Consider the following 21,113-nt stretch of genomic DNA (forward strand, 5'->3'; position numbering starts at 1 on the left):
CCATGCTCCTGGCCTGTGTCAGATCTGACCCCTCTCGCCTGCTCAAGGACATGCCCTGGGCACTCGCCCTGCTTGAGCCTGCATCATCCATTGTTCACTCTCTCCCAGTCCACCCCCATCAGCATGCAAACCTGCTCTTATTTCTCCTGTCCTAAAAAAAATGTGCCCACCTCTTCCTCCACCAACTTACAGCAACCTTCTTGAAAGATCTGTCCACCCTCACTCTCCCAAACTCCTCTCCTCCCACTCTTTTCTAGACCATTCAGGGTCTCATCCCTGCCGTTCTAACTAGCTGTTCTTGTCAAGGCCATTGTTGCCTTTCCTGGTGCTAAATTCAGTGGTGGCTTCTCAGGTCCCATCCTGACCTATCGGCAGCATTTGGCAGTACCGCACTCCTTTCTTACTGAAATACTTTCTTCACCAACGTCCAAGACCCACACAGTCCTGGTTTTCCTCCATCTTCACTGGCTTCTCCTGTCTCTGGTGCTGGTTTCCCTTCATCTCACCAGCTCCTTGACATTGCAGGCGCCCAGGGCTCAGCCTCTGAGCCTTTCCTATTTTTCTCTCTACACACAGCGCCTTGGTAATCTCAGCCAGATACATGGCCTGAAATGGTTTAAATGCAGCTATATGGTGGCATCTCCAAATTTATATCTCCTCTGAACTCTAAAGTACATACTTGACATGTCACTTCCCTGCCTAAGCCTTTCAGTGACTCTTCTCTGGCTGAAAGATAAAGTCAGAAATCCTGAATGGGACATAAGAGCTCCTTGATGCTCTGCCCCACTCCTGTTATTTTCCATTCTTAACTCTCAGTCTGGCACTGCCTTGGCCTCTGTGATCCTCTGATTCTGTAACCAGGCCAATCTCCTCAGGCCTTTGACAGTGTTATCCCCTCCCAAGGACTCCCAGCAACCCTCCCTCTCCTCCCAGGCTTGGCTAATTACTTCTTCAGGTTTCACGGACCTCTGATGTCCTGCCTAAGGTTCAGGTAGCCTCCGGTGCTCAACCCTGTCATAGAAATGACCAGCTTGCATGTGGCCATACACTGGACTGGGGGCTCCTTGAAGGCAGACACCATCCCATTGCAGTGGGATCTCCTGGAAAAGTCTGCCCATTTCCTATCTACCATTTAGTCCTATTTGTTCCTATACTATAGCCCCAATTTTGCGAGAGGTGGCAACATGCCCAACTGACTCCTAGCTTCTTTCTGGACAGGGGTGGCCATACAACTAGTCTCAGCCAGTGGAGGGCAGGTTCCTGGGAAAGCTGTGTTCTCCTAAGATAACCACTGCCACTTCTGTTTTCCTTCCCATGATCAGAGGCCATAGAGGAAGTGGCCATTTGTGACCATGAACAATAAGCCACATGCTAAAGACAGTGGCAGGACAGAGGGAGCAGGAGCATCATGACATCATGGAGCTGCAGGCTCTAGACTGTGGATTAGGGGGATGTGGAAACAAGCAGCAACGCCCCTCCCGTTTAGCTAGCCCTCTCTAGTTGTTTTTCTGTGACCCGCTGCTGAACACATTTCTGCAGGAAACACCCCAACTCTGGCAGAGACCCTAGGGGACACGGCTGTGTGATGAATGATTGCACGGACTGCTTACCAGTTTCAACCCACATTGTGCTTTCCAGCGTTTGCCTGAACTCTGCTTCTGCTCCCTCTACCACTCCATTTATGTCTAGTGAAAGGAAATTTCTCTCTCAAATCTCAGAGTGAATACCTCCTCTTGAAGTGGGCTCTGACCCCTTCTATCCTATGTGCACCTGGATTTGTTAATGTGCATCATCCATCTGCTATTTAAACCACCATGATTGGTGTTATAGCTATTCATAGGTGATTCTGACCTCCTGCTTAGGAGGCCCTAGAGAGTAGGTTAATACATGTATTTGCCCTCCCCACCGCATACCCACCTACATAACCCTCCCAGAGCCTAGAACACTGCGTCATGCATCACAGATAATCAGTAAATACTTTTTGGACGAGAGCTGTGGCTGTCCAGTAGCCCCGCCCACCTCCTCTGGCAAATCCTTTCTGACCACATCACCCCACTTTCTGCACCACGCTTTTGGTGACGGCACCAATTTCCTTGTCTTGGGTTTGTTGCCTATAAATACATTGAAAGCTCAAGTTTGGCAGAAGTCACATCCAAATCTGAGTTTCTGCTCTCTCCTCCTCATTCCCAAGATAGAGTCGGTACCTTACAGAAAGTGGAGGGAATGCATGTGCTGATCAAATGCTTGACTTGGCTAAAGCGGATACTTGCTGCTGGCATTGGTGGTCTAACCCCCCTTTGAAGGAGGTTGGTGGCCTGCCTCCTTTTCTCTCTGAAGGCCTTCCAAACATGTCGGCTGCTTTTCAGAGCCTTGATTCCCGACCCCATGCAGAGATTTCAGAAACACTCTAGAGGCCTGGCTTTTATTTCCTAAAACAGATTTCCTAGAGCTCATCCAAGTTCTTGGTGGTACAGGCTCTTTTAACTCATCCCACTTCTCTCAACTACTCTCCAAATCTCTCCTCTGTAATCTGGTTCCTTTTGGCCCCTCCTTTTCTCAGATGATTTCTAGGTGTGAAAGAGCATCCCATTTGGGGACAGATTAATTCTAGGAAACCCTAGAGGGATTTCCCTAAAAATGCAATCCAAGACAAACAAATCCCAGGACCTCACTCTTTAAAGCTGAAAGCCAGGAGACAGTCCCCAGGCAGCAGAAGCATTTGACTAATGAGTTTGTGGCAGAATCTGTACCCTTGATTCTTGGAAACATAAGCCTGTAAATTGATTGAGCAGAGGAGCTAAGAGATCATCTCAACTCAAATGCCACAAGGACCAGGAAGGCAGCGTAAATGAGTTATTTGGGATTTGCATGATGCGTGACAACTGACATCCATCTTAAATGTTGGAGAGTGTCTTCACCTGGGTTCCCCAGAAAGCAGAGCCTGAGATACAGGCTCATTGGTGTGCCACAATTGTCTCTGGGGTGCAAGAGTATGAGGTCAGGGGAGTGAGGCAGAGAAAGGTAGAGAGACAATATGAGGATGCATTATCAAACTGGCCACCACCGAGGGCAACTTCATGCTCAATCTTGTGGAAATACACCCAAGAAGCTACGAAAACTGTCCAGGTGGTGGGGGCAGGGGAGAAAGAAGGAAGATTTGTCTACCAGCTCCGATATCCCATTTGCCAAAGGTTGGCCCCACTAAGCACTAACTTACCTTCACTTCTGGATTTTAATCCATGACAGCCCAAATATGTTCATTGGCATCCCATGTCTTGGTGTCTACAGTGCTGGAGGTGAGAGGTACGCGGTGGGCAGCCCAGACACCAGGCATGACCCCCCCAGGTAGTAACTCACTGCATGATGCCTGTTGGAGCCCATGCAGGGCTGCTCACTGCTGTAGCAGAACGAAAGGTGCCTAAGAGATGGCTCATACGATCCACCCCAGCACTACTCCATCCACCTAAGAGATGGCTCATACGATCCACCCCAGCACTACTCCATCCACCTAAGAGATGGCTCATACGATCCACCCCAGCACTACTCCATCCACCTAAGAAATGGCTCATAGGATCCACCCCAGCCCTACTCCATCCACCCTGACTTTCCATCACATCTGGCACTCAGAATACAAAGTGAGGCCTCCATTTTTGTGAACAGAGAGCTTCACGTCTTTTCTGAAGGGGAAGGTACAAATACAGCCAGTCACAGAGTCTCCTCCAAGATGGTAGTTAGCTAGATTTTTTTTTTTAAGAGATAAAGTCTCACTCTGTCGCCAAGGCTGGGATGCAGTGGCACAATCATAGCTCACTGTAGCCTTGAACTCCTGGGCTCAAGTGATCCTCTCATCTTGGCCTGCTAAAGTGCTAGGATTGTGGGTACAGAAATAATTGTAAAGAGTTCAGGTAAGAGGATTGGTGAAACAAGCCACAGTCTCACTGCTGCAAGTGGTCTTGAGGCTGCAATTTAACATCACCATCTTTCTCCACCCTCCATCCTAGATTTTCCTCACCTTTGGCCAGCACTTTGGCTGGTGTGGATCGCTGACCTTGTGGGACCTGGTTTGTGTTGTTGCTGTTGTTGTTTGTTTTGTTTTGTTTTGTGATGGAGTCTCGCTCTGTCACCCAGGCTGGAGTGCAGTGACGTGATCTTGGCTCACTGCAACCTCCGCCTCCCGGGTTCAAACAATTCTCCTGCCTCAGCCTCCTGAGTAGCTGAGACTACAGACCTGTGCCACCACACCCGGCTAATTTTTCTGTATTTTTAGTAGAGATGGGATTTCACCATGTTAGTCAGGATGGTCTCAATCTCCTGACCTCATGATCTGCCCGCCTCGGCCTTCCAAAGGGACCTGGTTTTTTATCCCTCCAGAGTCCAGGCTCCTAGTGGCTTTGCCCTTGTTGAGTCACAGTTATCATTATCATGGAAGCAGCAAAAGATGCCCCAGTGAATCTTCTGGCTTTCAGACACACTCCCCGCTGCCCCCATTGAGTAGCAGCAACACCCCTAATTTCTCGTGGCAGTCAGGGTAATCAATCCTGCCAACATAGTAACTATTTTCTTTACTTGATGGTCGACCAGCATGAGGAACCCAGAGTATCTAGGTAATTGTCGTGACTTCAAGTTCAGTAGCACCCCCTACCCTTTGTCCTCTGGCATTCATCACCTGGGAATCAGGACCTCTCACCTGGCAGAGCCTAAGTTTACCGGGAGAGGAGGCACAAACTTCTCAAGCAGTTCTCTAGGAATAATGGTGGGAGGGTAAATCCCACACCTTGATTCCCACTTGTGTGTGCTCTACCTATTAGAGACATGTGGGTCATCGTTTTAGCACATCCTTTAGGATGCAATATATGCAATGTATTCTCCCTGAGTTGGTGCCTTAGCTTAATAGGACATTTCACCACTGTCTTTGGCTGGCTGCTTTAGCATGATGGGGTTCAGATATGATAAGACCAGTGGATCCCATGACCATGTGCCTATTGGTACACCTCCTTAGATGACTTGGGTTTCTTGGTTTGAGACAATGTCATATGGGATATCATGGCAAGAAACTAGGTATTTTGTAGACTCTCAGATGGTGGTACTGGTGGGGGCTCTGTGGACAGGAAGGCAGGGGTAGAAGTGGGATTTACCCTCCCACCATTATTCCTAGAGACCTGCTTGAGAAGTTTGTGCCTCCCAGAGTAGTACCAATGCTGGAAAGAATAAATTGCTGCCCCTCCCAGCATTGAAGGAATCTGATTCAGTCAACCTACCACAAAGTGGCTGGCTAGTCTCCTGAAGGAACGGTGCCACATTAAGGTCTCTGTATGAATCTCTGTTGCTGCCTGTTTGCGTATTCAGTGGTGGCAGCTGCATGATCAGTCTTGGTGAGAAGGAACCCATGATGTTGGCCCATGCGTAGCCTCCATCCTTTCTGTCACAGTCACTCTGCATCTGCATGGGGTGGCTGATAAGAGAAGCTGGCTGACATCCCCAGGATGAATCATCCTTTCCATCTGATCGGTGAGAATTTCCTCTGCCATCAATGCTTCTGGCATTAGTGGGAGATACATGATCTGCATGTTTTGTTGCTTTATTTCCACTACCATAGGCCCATCTACATACCTCTCCCTGATCTTTCAATCTAATTCTTTCTAAGCTCCTGACTTAGAAGCCAGGTGACTGGCGACCATACAGGAGTCCGTGTAAATCCATGTTTCAGGCTGCATTTCCCTCTCTGAGAAGTGGACAACCAAGTGTACTGCTCATGGCACTGCCCACTGATAGGATTTTTCAGGCTGCATTTCTCTCTCTGAGAAGTGGACAACCAAGTGTACTACTGCTCATGGCACTGCCCACTGATAGGATTTTTCATCACTACTGATCTTAGGGCCATTTTGTGTTCTCACCAACATAATGTGCTGGCCTATTTGTTATCCAGATACAAGTTATTTTCCACCTCTGTTGGTCAGAACCCCACATGAGTCCATAGGTATGAACTAGGGGAGAAGGGCTAGTGAAATAGAGGTCATTGACATGGGATCTGTTCATTTAGTTCATTTGTGCTTTTTGGTCCTGCTTGGCCTCTTCCTGAAGATACCATTTCCACCATACAGGGAACTCTATTGCCTTGACTCCATGACTCGGTGGATTCGAGAAGAAGCCCCTGATGAGTAGCTCGGGTTTTGTAGTCACTTGGTGCTGCATGGTCCCTCTCTCTTCCAGGGCCCACACCAAAAGGTGCTTCAGAAAGCATGGCCTTGTTCCAGACCGTAGGGGGTTTTCACTACCTCTCTTCTATTGAGGCTCTGCCAAAGACTCCCCATGCATTTTCACCCACCTCACATACCTCTAGAGAGTCTAATCTGCTGGGACATACAACCCTAGTGTTGGATTGCACCAGTGGCTAAAACCCCTGCAGACCTTTATTTTGCTTTGGGCTCCACTCAAAACTAGAAGCTTTGCCAGTCACCCCAAAATTGAGTCAGATTGGTGTTGCCAAATGTGCTACATACTGCCTCAAAAATCCAGAGACCCACTAAGCACAGTGCCTGTTTCTTAGTGGAAGGAGGTATGCAATCCAACAGTTTGTCTTTTACCTTAAAGTGTGGGTCTTAGAATGCTCCAAACCACTAGACCCCTAAAAACATCACCTATGTGCATAGTCCTAGATTTTCATTCAGTTATCTCCTACCTCCTGTTCTCAAGTGCTTAATAAAATCTCCAAGCTTTCCATTTTGTGCTCACCAGGTACAATTTGCTTGATGTCATCAATACAGTGAGCCAGTGTGATATTCTGCGGAATTGAAGATGACTACAGTCCCTTTGGACTACACTATGACAAAGAACAAGAGTGTTAGCACAGCCCTGGGGTAAGACAACAAATGTGTCCCCACCATATGAAGATGAACTGACTTTGATCCTCCCTACTGATGGGGAAGAAGGCATTTGCTTGATCAATAGCCTCTTACAAATGCCAGAGGCTATTTGACCTGCTCTAGTAAAATTACCACATCTGGCACAGAAGCTGCAATCAGGGTTGCTGCCTGGTTTCGTTTATACGAGTCCTCAGTCATTCCCCATGAGCAATTTGGTTTTAGCAGGTCCAGAATGATGAGCTGAATGAGGATGTGATGGGAAACACCTACCCTACATCCTCTAAGTTTTTAACGAGGGCACTAATCTCTGAAATTTCTCCTATAATGTGGCAATAATTCTTCCATTTTACAATCTTGTCTGAGCAGGGTGGTAGTTTCAGGGTATCCCACTTGGCCCATCCTACCAGAATGGCCCCTTATTCATGGATTGTGGAATCAAATGGGAGGGTTCTGCCGGCATCTATCCAAATACACTTGCAGGGACTGGAGGAATGACCACGGGGTGGTCTACAGATCCACAGGACCCACTGCAGAACAGACTTAGACCCCAAGTCCCTTTATCACCCAGCCCCTTATTGTCAGTGCCAGTGTTAGGTCACTGCAGGTATCTACCAGTCCTTAGAAATATGGGCATTTCCCTTCCTTCCATGCAGTCACTCTAGCAAATGGCTGTAGGTCCCTTTGGGAAAGGATGGGAGGAATACAAATCTTATACCCTTGTGATGGCATCCTGTGGTCCTTCCTCAAGGGGACCCTCTTCTTCTTCTCTCAATGGATGCTCGGTCTGTGAACTGACTTAGATCTGGAGACCAGGTGAGGGTCTGATGTCATCCTTCTGCTTGCCATTTCTTGATATTTTTTCACAATTATACAAATTAAGCAACTCCCTTGCAGCTGTCCATCTGTCCCACACCATGGCTGATTAGCCATCGTCAACTATCTCTGCAGGTCTGTGTTCCCTGGTTGCTTCTCTAGCTTGCTACTCATGTTGCCTCTGGTGTTAAAGGGCCAGCACCTGGCCTCTGTTCTGCCAGAATCCTGTCCTGCCCATTGATCACACAGAGCACAATTCTATCATCAGCCTCAGCCTACTGATGGCGGCCATTGCAGAATTTCTCAGAGATGCCTGTGCTCCCCACCCTGAACCAGGGCATCCCTTCTTGCCTTGGGGAGGAGGATCCTCTGGGTACTCCTGTAGAAAGTTGTATTCATTTCCCCTGGCTACTCTAACAAAGTACCATAAACTGGGTGTCTTAAAGCAAAACAAAAGAAATGTATTTTCTTTCATTTCTGAAGGCTGGAAGTCCAAAATCAAGGTGTTGGCAGAGCCATGCTCCTTCCAAAGACTCTAGGGGAGGAAGCCTCTTTGCTCTTCCAGCTTCTGGCTTGTGGCAGCACAACTCCAATCTCTGCCTCCATCTTCACATGGCTATCCTCTCTTTGTGTCTCTCTGAATGTCCTCTCCTCTTCTTAGAAGGACAGCTGTCATATTGGATTGGGGCTCACCCTAATTACCTCATCTTAACTTGATTACATCTACAAAGACTTGACTGAGGTCACATTCACAGGCACCAGAAGTTAGGATTTCAATGTTTCTTTTGGGGGAATGCAATTCAATCCATAACAATAGCCAGCTGGTAAGTTCCCAGGTCCTATATAGATAATCCATCCTAAAATTCCTACCTCCCTGCGTCTTCTGACCCCTTCTTCAATCCTATGCTGAGGAGGTTCTGGTATTTCTACTCATTTGCTCTAAACCATTGTCATGGCCAAGCTCTAAGATGCCATCCTATCACACTGTTCAGACCAGTTCTAGGTCCTAACACTCAATCCAAGTCAAGGGCTTACATCAAGAGTGAGTGTCACAAATTCTCCCCCAGGCAGCCTTCTCTCCCCCACCTCCTTCCTCTATCCAACCCCGTGCAATGTTCAAGCACCAAGGCCATGGCTTTCTACCCCAAGGCCTCACTTTCTACCTGCAGCTCTTCCCAGTATTCTACAGGTGATAGCTCGGATAACCCTGATGTCATTGCATGCCAGGACTATCACCACCCAACTTATCGCCAGGGATGGGGTTCTTCTTGCCAGAACTCCAGTGAGTAATCCAGCTCCAGAATCCCATTTTGAGGGCTGCTTGCTGGAGCCACTCCTGACACCAACTGTCTTCTCTTGGGTTTTCCAGAAAGCAAAGGCTGAGGCAAAGTCCTCTGTGCTACTCCGTTATTAGGGAACACAATCCCAGGAAGGAGAGCAAGATAGGGAGGGGCAGAGCCACCACGAGGAGGGCACATTACTGAGCTGTCTGCGGCCAAATGCAACTGATTGTTCAATCTTGCAAGATCATTTCAAGAAACTGTCTGCCTCGGAAGCATCTACCGGGAGGGAGAAAGAGGGAAGAATTTTCCATTAACTCCTATTTTCCATTAATCAAAGTTTTGTCAAACTGGTCATTAACCCATAGCACTTTCAGGTTGTGCACATGTGGGTGCTGAGTGGGATTCTTCAATGCCTGCACTTCAAAAGGGAAGCCCAGGGATATGAGGCAAGGGGCCCATGGTGGCAGACCGTGCAGGCACGGAGCAAGGCACTAGCTGGTTGACGTGCATGAAGTTAGTTGGAGCCCATCAAGAGCCGGTAGCAGCAGATGCCCTTGAAGCTAGAGACAGACGAAGCTGAGAGGATCTAAGGGGGTGCAAAATAAGGGCTTGCTAGAGTGATCAGGGGATCATGGGCTCGATGGCCCAGAGGAGGGTATGTGCTCCATCCAAAGAAAGCAGCTGCACTCAGCCCCAGCCAATTGCTCGATCTTCTGATTTGTTTTCAAGAAAGCTAGTTTATTGAATTTTCTTTTGAAGTTGATAAGCAATTCAGATTTAAAACGTGATGTGGGCCAACACTGCAGGTCAAATAAAATATTTCTGAATATTGCCCACAGGGGCCCATAGGTTTGCAATTTCTGAGCTACTCATCTTATGGAACTGGGCCAGGTCGGGAAGGGGGCAGGGCCGAGCCTAACACTGGATGTTCTGACTCCAAGACCAGTGTTCTTACCCCCATTTTTAGAAGGCTGGCCTTAGCATTCATGGCCTTAGCAAGATCTCTAGCCTGCCATGACTCAGGAATTTCCCCTCTCCAGGATCTAAGTGCACCCAGGTGAGGGCATTTCCCTCTAACTGCACCCAGGTGAGGGCACAGTCAACCCATCCCCTGCCCCATCCCTCACCCTGACAGGCTATTGGCCTCCCATGGGGGCTGGGTACTCAGGTCCCACTGATTCTCAGCCTTGTTGGCCTGGCTGATGAGGTGGAGCCAGTGGAATCCCACCACACTGCCAACCTGAGACCGGGGACCCATCAATCCTGCTCCCCTATTGCCTAGGACACCCCCGTGATGGATGAAGGGCCTGGGCCATGAATCATCTCTCTCACCTTTTCCCATCTCCCAGCCAGCTTCCCGGAGCTGGAAAGATGAATGCCTGCAGAATCTCACCTGCTCTCTTGAATAATTTCCCTTTAAAAGACGCCAGTTATCAGTAATTCGTTACTCGTCTTTGTTAGCATAAACAAGACAGAGAAGTTGGGGTGGGGGATGATGCTTCCTGCTCCTCCTCCCAGCTTCTGCCACTGCCGCTGCCTTCATCATTCCACTGTCACTCGTGCTGGCCTCCAACCTCAGTTCTGCCTTCCTGCTGTGGAGCAAAGCAAAGCAAAGCCAGGGTCTTAAGGAGAGCTGCTCCAGCTGGTGGCACCCTCTCTGGCAGATGGCATACAGCTGTTTCTGGTGACATCTGGATGAGCACAATCAGCTCCAATTGATGATTTCTTTTAATCTTGAATTAAATGTCACATGTTGTCTCTTTCTTTTACGGCCCATATACATCCCTGTCTGTGTTGTCTATAACTACAGAATAAGATATCACTGGCCAGGGACCACTTCTCTGAAAGCCAATCTTGTTCCTCGCAATCTGCATTTGTTGGAATATAAAACTGGCCCCCAAGGCAGGAATGTGGAGGACCTGGAACAGCAGGGAAGACCCTGGGAAGGACAAATGTCAGAGTCACAAAACAAGGAACATAGCCCATTCCATTACCCCTGGAGCCTTTCTTGGCAGGGGGTGTGTGCCACAGCAGGATGAGCCCTTGGAGGCGATGGCGGTTTCTGTCAAAGGCACAGTTCCAGGATTCGGCCCTGCCGAGGTGAGAACTATCAAGAACCAAGGGAGGGAGCAAGGCCTTTTGAATGCTAAGAACCAGGGCAAGTGGCCAGACAGGCAGAGAAGTCCCCCATCCCTCCTCTTCTGAGCAGAAGCAAAGAAAACAAGAAAAGGACAGAAATTTCAGTGTGGTTTGTCGCCTGGTTAGGGACTGTAGCTAATTTTTTTATGCCACCACCAGAAGACCAGGACGAAGTGATTTTTCTCTGGACTTCACTCCTAACTTCCAAGTTCTTTCCTCGTTTCTCATATCCAGCAATATCTCATCCTATAATGACAATGGCAGCATCGCACATGTCATTCAAGGGCTTAAGTTTTATAGCTCTCCCCTCCCTCCATCCATTCTCCAGCATCTATCTATAGGACATCACAAAACTATAAATCGGATCATGCCACCCCCTTGATTAAAAACCTTGAGTGATATCCCATTGTCTTCAAGATCAAGTTCAAAGCCCTGAACATGCCCTGTAGCGTGCCCTGGCCTCTGACCACTCTTGACCCTCATCCTGCATGCCCCCCCAATTGCTCCTGCCACGCAGCTCTTCTTTCAGCCTCTAGGGAGCCTTCTGCCTCTTCCTACCACAGGACCTTTGCACGTATTAGTCCTTCTACCTGGAATGGCCTCTCCACTCTACCGCCACCCCCAGCCTCCCATTTAGTAACTCTGTAACTCCTATTTATCTGTCAGGTCTTGACTTAAGCATTGGGTTATCCAGAAGGCCTTCCTTGCTGCCCTAGACTATATCAGACATGCCTTGTTCTCCTGCCTTTATGCTTCAGTTACCCAGTGAACTCGTAATGATTTGCCTAACATCCTTTCTCTCCACAAGACTTCATTTCCATGAGATGAGGGGCTGTGCCCTGTCTGCTGCTACTTGCTCAGGGGCAAGTACAGAGCCTGCCACAGAGATGCCCTTTGTGGAATGAATGAATGAGGGAGGGACTGCATGTGAGGGCATCCTGGCCCAACTGCTCTCTACATAGCTGGTCTCGCTGCAGACTCTCTTCACTGTCTTCAGCCTCTGTCTCTTCCTCCACCATCAGAGATCCTTGTCCTCTGCTCAGACTCCTCAACTAAGGCCATTTCTCATCACCTTTTCTGGTCCGTGGCAGTGCAGGGTCCTTGTTCTGACCTCTAGCTCACCTCCTCTTTGGCTTCAGGGTGAAATGGGTCTCCCTGAGGCTGAGGAGCCCCAGCTGCCTGCCTTCTCCTGCAGGAGGGGCCTGACTAGAGCTCCCCAGCTGTACCGCCTCCTCCCCAGCTTCCACCTATCCTCAGGGAGGGACCTGGAGCTCACACTCCAGACCCCAATCTAAGGTCACGGTCTCATCCCAGACCACAGTGGCATGAATAAAACAACACAGAGCATTTGCGATTCAGTGGCTGCTCTATCCTTCTGTCTCCAGCTGGCCCAAAGGGAGACCCAAAGCCAGCATGATTTTAGGGAGGTTTGGGGGCATTTGCCACAGGATGGTGGGGTAATGACTGGGATCCTTGCTGCCAGAGGCCAGCTGTCCAGTGATGGATGTTAATATCCTCTCTCTGGGAACCCAGAAAATGGTTGTGCCATCATTTGCATATATTTGCATCTCCTACACTGCCATCTATCCCAGGGTCTGCAACCTCTGCCTGGGAGCCACGCTGGCCAGCAGGCTGGTTTTCCTTGGCAGGCAGCCTGGAAATCCTCCCACCCCAGCTGCCCTTGACATGGTGGATGCTGCGCCTGCATCCCCAACCCTCTCAGGCCCCCCAGGATGGCAGCTCTGCTTTCTGCTCATGAATAGGCAGCCAGTCGATGACAGCTCAGCTACTTCTCACACCCGCTCCCCCACCAGGGCAGGGTGTGCAGTCAGGCTTCCCACCCACCCTCACCTCCCCTTGTCCTACCCCAAGTGGAAAGAGCTTGGTAACCTGGCGTTTGCCCACTCATTCATTCAGTAGGCTTACTGAGCACATACTAAGTGCCAGGTGCTGTGCTGGGGATTGGGTCTATAAGGAAAGCAGAGGGGCCATTCTGAGAGCTAGCCAGGGTGCCGCTCACCACGCTGGGGTCCAATAACCTGGGGCTATGTTCTTCCCATTGTCCTCGCTTTACCATCTGCCACACTGGACCTGAAGTTTCCATCCTTGGCCCTTCAAGGGCTCCGTCTTCAGCACCACTCACTGCAAGTGCCTCTCCCAGAAGGGCAAGAGCCTTCCCTATTTGGGGCACAATGTGGGTGGAGATGTGGGCCACACCCACAGGAGCTTCCTGGCCCTGGCCCCTGTACTTCCTCAGGGATGAAACGGGCCTTTCAACCCAGTGGGCAGGTAGGGGTCTCAATAATGGTTCTCCTTTTTTGGCATCTGGCCCCATAAACATGACAGCAGACGGGGCAGTATGGAGCTAAGAATGACAATGGCTTATGTAGATGAAGCCCACGGTTCACTGTGGGAAAGCCAAATTTCAAACTGGGCCTGTCCTGGGGATTCTTGGGGGCCTCAAGCCTCATGGTCCAGACCCTGTGAGCACAGTTGTCTTTGGCCAGTTCCCAAGAGGCCAAGGCTCCTGACAACAGTCCAAAGGCTCAAGCAGACAAGGGCGGCTTCCCCTTCCCAGTGCAGCAGAAGTGGAGACTTGGTTGACATCTTCCTTCCTGGTGGCCTCTCCTCCTCTGTTCTCTGTTTGTCTTGGTGGCTCTAAGTTCTCCAATTCCTCCAGGCTAGAAACCTCACTTTTCTAGGTCATCGCTCTCCCCGTGTGGCAACCCCAGTCCAGCCAGTTGCCGCATCCTCTTTCAGAATGCGTTTTGCAGCTGTTTCTGCTACCATCATAGATGAGCCTGGAATGATGACACTGTTACTGCAGCCTCTTGGCCAGTCTCCCATCTTTGATCCAACTTATTCTGCTGCCAGATTAAAAGTAAAATTCCTAAAACAAAATCCCATCAATACTTTCAGTGACCCCCCTATTACCCATAGAATAGAGCCACTTCTCACTCTCGTGCCATAGTTTTTACCACAGCACCTAACACAGTGCCTACTACAGGTGATAATAATGATAGCTAACATTTTTGGCATAATGACCACGTGCCCCAAACTGTTTCAAGTGTTTGATTTGTATTATTTAATCCATTCAGCAACCCTGCAAGGTAACTACTATTACTACATTTTACAAACAAACTAAGGCACAAAATGATTAAGGAACTTGCTTAAAGTCCTACAGCTAGTAAGTGGGAGAGCTGGGATTTGAATGCTTGGGATCTGACTCAAGAGCCCACACTTTCAACCACCATGCAGAAATATACCCCAGATGGAGAGTTAATGTATGTTGTACGTATCAATACATGCATTCATGAACCAATAGATGAAAAGATGAGTGACTGAATTAATGAAATTACTCCACATCATAGGTCCCCAAGACAAAGGTACTGATACTTTCCAGAATAGTTTCATTGTGCCTTCTTCTGAGCAGAGACAGTGTAATGTAATTGTTATGGCCATGGGCTATGGTATCAGGCTTGGGTTTGAATTCTGGTGTCGCCATTTATTGGCCATGTAGGTTTGGCAAGTTATTTGAGCTTTGCCACCTCTATTTCCACTTCTGAAAATGGGAATAATAATAGCACTGATTGTGGATCAAATGAAGTCATGGTTATCTAGCACAAAGCACAATGCTTGGTAAATGGCGAGGGCTCAATGCACAGCCACCACAGTTCCCATGAGAGCTGTCCTTTGTCCCCACTGTTTCCATGGTCTAAGCAACAAGGTTGAAATGTGCAAAATGTGATTTGTGCTCTGTTGGCTAAAGACAGCAGGTGTGTTGGGCAACAAGGGTGGAAAAGGAGGAAAGTGGTGGGCTCCAGGTGCAGAGAGGGGACCCAAGAAGGTCTAGAAATGGCAGAGAGGAAGCATCCACCACCCGGCGTGCACATCACACAAAGACGGTTCTGCTTCCCTCGCCTGTTTAGTATGAAACTCAGTGAGAATTGATGAAGTCATTTTTCAAGCCATAAAGCACTGCAAACACATTTGTATTATTTTTCTTCTGTGCCATGGGTAGTTTTTTTTTTTTTTCAATTCTCAGATGTTTAGCAAACACGGGCTATCTTCCAAAAAATGTAATTTTGTGGATGGATACATTTAAAAATGGTATGCTTTGGTCAAGTCGGTAATGTCTATTTTTCTTTATTGATGACTTCTCGTTTCAGTGGGTCACTGACAAGAAAATTCACCTGGAGGCCAAATTGTCTCTAATAACAAGTCCAAGACATGCATTCCAGCTGGAATCCTCTTCCCGGATGGTAAGTTGCCTAGGAACAAAGACTGGGTCTTCCTCATCTTTTGTTGCAGGGGCCAACAGTGCCTGGCAAGACAGGTGGACACTCGGTGACTGCAGACTGGATTCTGGCTCATCTGACCGGGTTCAAATCTCAGCTCTACCATTAGCTGTGTGAACTTGGAGAAGTGATTTCATGCCTTTGAGGCTCAGTTTTCTTAATTAAAGTGGGAATAATCTTAGTAACCTATTTTATAGGGTTACTGTGAAGATTTCTCTCTCTTGTCTCTCCCCCACCCCTCTCCTCCCTCCCTCCCTCTCCATGTTGGGCCTAAACAGTCATTTCAATCATAAAACATCCCTTGTGTTCATATAGCCCTCTGCAGTCCACAAGGTGCTCTCAAATGCATTATTTCATAAATAGATACAATTATTTGTCCATTAAAAAGGTAGATTTAAATTTAAAAAATGCCTGATCTCATTTTATCAGAAATAAAGAAGCATTAGCATCCCCATCTCTCAGATGAGGAAGCTGAGCTCAAAGATTTGGCCAGGGTCATATAGCACGCAGAGCTAGGACGCAAACCAGGCTTTCTAACACCAACTCCAGATCCCTTTGAGTTAAAGGAAATCAGGCAATAGTTCTAAAACGAATGACATTTACTCAAGCTGAGCCTAATGCAGTTCTCAGATATCCTGACCTTCAGAGGGGGAGAAATCGGTCAAGCCAGGTGGTCAGCATCAAGTGAAGCAAACAACCAGCTGAGAGACTGAATTTTTCCCTATTTCTTCAGGCTGCTGTTTGTGGCAGGAGCAGAGAATAGCAGGTGGAGACACAGGCTCAGTGTGGTGTGAATCAGGAAAGATCTGGGGGCATATCTGGGAGTGGCCTCTCTGTGAATTTGCTGCCTCCAAGTGCTGGATTCTCCAAGAGGCACCAATAAAGGCTGGGTGCACTCAGATGGACTTCTCTGTGCCAGAAGGGTACCCATGTGTAAGCATCTGTCATCACCTCAGTGGCTTTGTACAGAGATAAGATGGTTACCATTATAATTCTTTCCACTTTTAAGATGGATAAACTGAGGCTTGAACTGTTCAAGTTCATACAGCTAGTAATGGCAGCAAGATTCAAATGTGTGGCTGTCTCACCTCAAAGTCCATTCTCTTTCCAAAAAGCCAAATGAGGTGGCAAAGGGGAATAGCAGAAGGAGATATATGGCTTTAGGGGTGGACAGTGAGGGGTTAGGAGTAGGAGGAGGAAGGCACTGGACAATGCGTTAATTTGGAGAGTCAAGTTATGTAGAAAACTATTGACATGGTGATACAAATGGCTCACTCACCTCTTTATTTATTTTAGGTTGTGTGTTTTTAATTGCAGTAGCCATCTCCAAAAATGCCATCCAGTAACCATGCCCTTGTGTGCTGCCCTTTCCATGAATCTGAGCTAGCCCCATAATTTGCTTTTGGCCATTGGATGGTGGTGGAAGTGATGCTGTGTGACTTTTGAAGCTGAGTTACAAGCAGCCTTGGACAGTCTTTCTAGACCTCGTGGAGGGCTCACTCTGGGGGAAGCCAACCAGCATGTAAGGAGCATAACTGCCCTGAGACCGCCGTGTTGTTAGGATGCCCAGCTAGCTATGTGGAGAAGCTGCATAGACTGAGGGAGAAGCCCAGCTAGTCCCCAGTTATTCCTGCCACCCTAACTGAGGCACCAGACCCATGAGCAAAGAAACCATCATGGATGTCCTGTCCCATCCAGCTTCTGTGACTGTAACTGTATGAGGACCCCAATGAAAACCACACAGCTGAGCCTAGTCAACACACAGAGCTATGGAAGATAATAGTAAATTGTTGCTTTAAGCCACTTGGTGTTTATTCATTTGTTTGGAGGGGGTCGGGGGCAGAGAGATTATGCAGCAGTCGAAAACCAGAACACTTGCATAAATCTCTATGAAGCTGGACATCTCTCTAGACCTGAAGAAGCTCCAGAATGCCCTGAGCCTGGCATGACTACAGGGCCACTCTATTCCCCCGCTGGAATGATCCAGAGTGCCAGGAAAACAGGCCCTTCACACAAGGCCCTGAGTCTGTTTCCTGGTTCCTCCATGACTAGCTGCAAAACTTTAGACAAGCCAGTGCTCTCTCAGCCTGAATTTTCCCATCTGCAAAGTTAGGCAATAGAGTCAATGGATCATCAAAGATTCTTCTGCTTCTCTGCCTCATGAAATATCACTCTGTGCCTAAGAGATGAACACACCACCTAGAATTCCCCCTCTAGGCGTGCCCTTTCTCGGTTCACTCACATGATAGGCATAAAGGCACAAGGAGAAAGGAGCTCATCTGCGCTGTTTCTGGGCTTCAGGAATCTCCAGTCACCAAGTGAGGCTGTGGGAGGGCCAGACATGCCAGCCAGTACCCAGGTTCCCAGCTCCATGCCCCTCCTCAGCCTCCCTTGAGTTTTTCAGTGCTAAAGAGGGAGCACCTGCTCCAAGGCCCAGGTAGTTCTGGAATCCCAGCTCTACCTGAGAAGAGGAAGTTCCTGCCTGCCAAAGAAGAGGGGCCTCCTGAGAGGAGTAGGCTTCTCGGTGGCTGCAAAGCGTCTGGTGACAATATTTGTGTCTAAAAATACAGCAGCTGAGAACCAGCTAATTGCAGCCTCTGGAGTCATTCATAGCTCAGCGTTTCACACCACACTTGCACCTCTTCCAGTGTTTCTCAGGAGCTGCCACGAAGGAGGCCACTTATGGGTGGAAACCCAGCCAGGAGGGCCCAGGATTGGGCCTAAGGTCCAGGGCATCCTTTCACCCAAGAGCCCAGCCTGGTACCAGTATGTAGCTGGCACCTAGGAATAGAGCAAAGAGAGCAAGTTTCTCAAGTCAGCTGAATCCCCCCCCCTCTACTCAGATGCCCTTGGCCACTTGCCCATCAGGATCCATTCAGACCTGTTGGGGCCCCTCAAAAGGCAATGGCCCAGGTATAACTTCATGAGTGAGATGTACTCGAAGAGATGCACAAGGTCCAGGAATTACCTTGCTGGAGACGGCCTTCTGTCCTGGACCTGCAGCCGGCAGGGTGCTAACCTTTGAGCTAGGACCTCTGCTGGACTGGGTCATGGGCTAAGCAGGGGTTGGGACCCCATAGCTCCCTGCTGTGGATCCTCCTTTCTTTCAGAGCTTCTCAGATGGCTCCTGTCTCGTCTACCAGGATAAAGGGCATGACTCAAGGTCACAGGATGTGACGATCTGAGAACTTCAGCCACAGCCTCTCTGGTGCCCCACACTGCCTGAACACACAGTGGACGAAGGTCATGGCAAAAGTAGAAGGAACCCTGCGTGGGGAATGTGTTTGCCTCAGGCTTTAGGAGAAGGAATTTTTTTTTTCTTAATCAGGGAGGCATTTTAAAAGCACAAAGCCAAACTAACATTTGTGTAGTATTTTTCACTTGGCAAAATGCTGTCACACACCTAGTGCTAGGTGGTTCCCATGTTAATTAGATGAGGTGGTTATTATTATGGCGTCCACTTTATGGGTAATTAAACTGAGGATCAGAGGGGCTGAGTCATTTCCCCAGGGTCACCAAAGTCATGACCAGCCTTGAACTCAAGTCAGGAGCCCTCCTGCTGGGTCAGCAGGCCCAGCACCGCCTCCTGGCCCAGCTTAGAAGCTTGACTAGTCAGCCCCATTGGGGTCCCAGATTACAGAAATGCCACACTCCGGCCACACAGCCCTGAATCCAACCTAAATCCAGCTCCATCAACTTCCCCCTATCTGCGAAATTCATTTGAATCCCACTCTGAATCTGGATCCATTAACCTTTGACCTATGAGAAATGAGTCAGAGCCTAAGAAAAAGCGGGCACCTAGAGAAAGCAGGGAGCAAAAAACAGAGTTTCTGAGAGCAGGGGCCCTCTGCTTGATGGTCAGCTCCTCCCCTGGCACCTGGGCCAGGTCAGCCGATGCTCTGTGTGGCCAAGAGAGGGCCAGACCTGGCCTCTGGCTGTGAGTGGCTGGGACGGCGAGCAAGACCCAGCTACATATCTGTCTTCAGCCCCTGCAACTGGGAGAGCAGCAACTCAGAGATCAGCCGTTTCACCCTTCTTCCTAATCACCGCGGGCGTGATGGAACACCTTGACATTCTTTAACGAAAGTTCAACTCCACTGCCACTCGGGGCGCTGCATGAGGAATGAGGTTTATGTTGAATCCCAGAATCACAGAAATTAGAGATGAAAAAGGACGCTGAGGTCAGAGGCAGCCCATCCCCATGGGGCCAAGTGCACGTTCTTCTCGGTAATAGACTTTCCCTTTATTCCTCCAGTCCAGGTGGCTGCCTCCCTGAAGACCATTCTCCACTGTTTCTTGGAGAAGACACTGTTGATAGAAATGAGAAGTCTGTGCTGATCCCTGCATGATTTGCTTTGAAATTTATTAATCATCCAAAAGCTGGTGAAGAGGGGAAAAAAGAGAATGTAAACTCATCTGGTAGCCAGCGTGCCTGAGTGCGAAGAAGGAGGAGAGCCAGAACCCTCTGGGTTTCCAGCTTGCTATAGCTCTAGGGCAGCATGGGACAGTGTAGACTGATCACTGACTTGCTATGTAACCTGGCAAAATTTTGACTTCCCTGAGCCTCAGTTTTCTCATCTGCAAAATGGGAGCTCATGATGCCTATGCACAGGGCTGTTGGAAGATTAGAGTTAACAAAGGTTTAGCACCTCATATTGTGCCTGACCCATGTGAATTACTCCGTAAATGGTAACGATTATTACTAACATTACTTTATGACTCTCCCCTCTCCAGATCCGTGTCCCTGTCTGTAACACAGGGCTAAGCAAGTTCTTCAGCTATTGGGCTTCATCCACTCAACATTCCACTGGCACTTCCAGAGCTGCCACCACACTTCAGACTCCCAAGGCTAACAATGACCAAGAAAGACAGATTCTCTGACGTCATGGAACTTACTGTCTTTATGAATTTCCAGGGAGAAGGGTGCTAAGATGCTAACATGGATACTAACCATCTGATGCAATATTCTGCTGCACAGATTGTGACCTATGACTCACTGGGACATGATAGAGGTCACAGAAATGCCAATGACATCCCAAAGACAGTGTGGGAGTGTGTTGTCTAGCTTCTTAGCAAACCCCACCCCCACGGTGGCATGACCCCTGCACCATCTTCTCCCACCCTGGGATCTCCTTCCTACCCCTCTGCCCATGTCAATCTGGAAGGTACTTTTATACACACACACACACACTCCTAATAGCATCTAAATCAGTCACTCTCAACCTTGGCTGTGCATTAGTGGTGCTTACCTATGACAGGGCTAGGCCCAGGCCACACCCAAATCCATTAAAGCAGAGCGTCTGGGGTGGGACCCAAGCATCAGAGTTATTGGCATCTTCCCAGCTCGAGAACCAGTGCTCTAAGCGGATGTGGTCGTCGGGGGAAAGGCAAGGACCTCTGGTCTTTACAATCTTCTTGATATCACTGAATAACCTCAGTTTCTCTGTCTGGGCAAGGAGGGTACTAATACCTCCCTCTCCAGGCCATGATGAAGGTAAAACAATATTCTGAAAGAACCTCAGGAATCCTGCCCAGATGAGAGGCACTGGCCCTGTGGCCTCTGGGCAGATTCACTGGAGAAAGTGGTGGGTGTGATGGTTTCCCTGGGGGCCAACACTGAGACTTCCCAGTGTTTGCTCTACCAGGGTGAGCATCACTGTGGTGAATGTCCCTTGCAGAGCTCACATCTGTTGCACCAGGATACTTCCCCTGAAGCT

The 21,113-nt window shown here is 48.8% G+C and overlaps 1 long non-coding RNA gene across 4 annotated transcripts in view, besides 2 other annotated features; it reads left to right on the top strand.

Annotated features, from left to right (window-relative positions):
• Positions 1-21,113, top strand: part of LOC105369526 (uncharacterized) — a 45,817-nt gene that overhangs the window by 17,454 nt on the left and 7,250 nt on the right. For 2 of the 4 annotated variants that reach the window (XR_948080.3, XR_948082.3), the window contains 3 exons: positions 6,736-6,857; positions 15,268-15,360; positions 16,693-20,890. This is a non-coding gene — a long non-coding RNA (uncharacterized LOC105369526). The remainder of the gene's footprint in view (positions 1-6,735; positions 6,858-15,267; positions 15,361-16,692; positions 20,891-21,113) is intronic. The other 2 variants (XR_948081.3, XR_948083.3) reach the window with 2 other exon arrangements.
• Positions 13,095-13,900: an enhancer, noted in NCBI's record as "H3K4me1 hESC enhancer chr11:119806603-119807408 (GRCh37/hg19 assembly coordinates)". NCBI's record gives its function as "activates a minimal SCP1, AML or CMV promoter by ChIP-STARR-seq in naive H9 embryonic stem cells {active_cell/tissue: H9 hESC(naive)}" and the evidence as "EXISTENCE:reporter gene assay evidence [ECO:0000049][PMID:30033119]".
• Positions 19,769-20,968: an enhancer, noted in NCBI's record as "CDK7 strongly-dependent group 2 enhancer chr11:119813277-119814476 (GRCh37/hg19 assembly coordinates)". NCBI's record gives its function as "activates an origin of replication core promoter dependent on BRD2, BRD4, P300/CBP, MED14 and CDK7 cofactors, with strong dependence on CDK7, by STARR-seq in HCT116 cells {active_cell/tissue: HCT116}" and the evidence as "EXISTENCE:reporter gene assay evidence [ECO:0000049][PMID:35650434]".

This window comes from Homo sapiens, chromosome 11 (genome assembly GCF_000001405.40).
Source record: "Homo sapiens chromosome 11, GRCh38.p14 Primary Assembly".
NCBI lineage: Eukaryota > Metazoa > Chordata > Mammalia > Primates > Hominidae > Homo > Homo sapiens.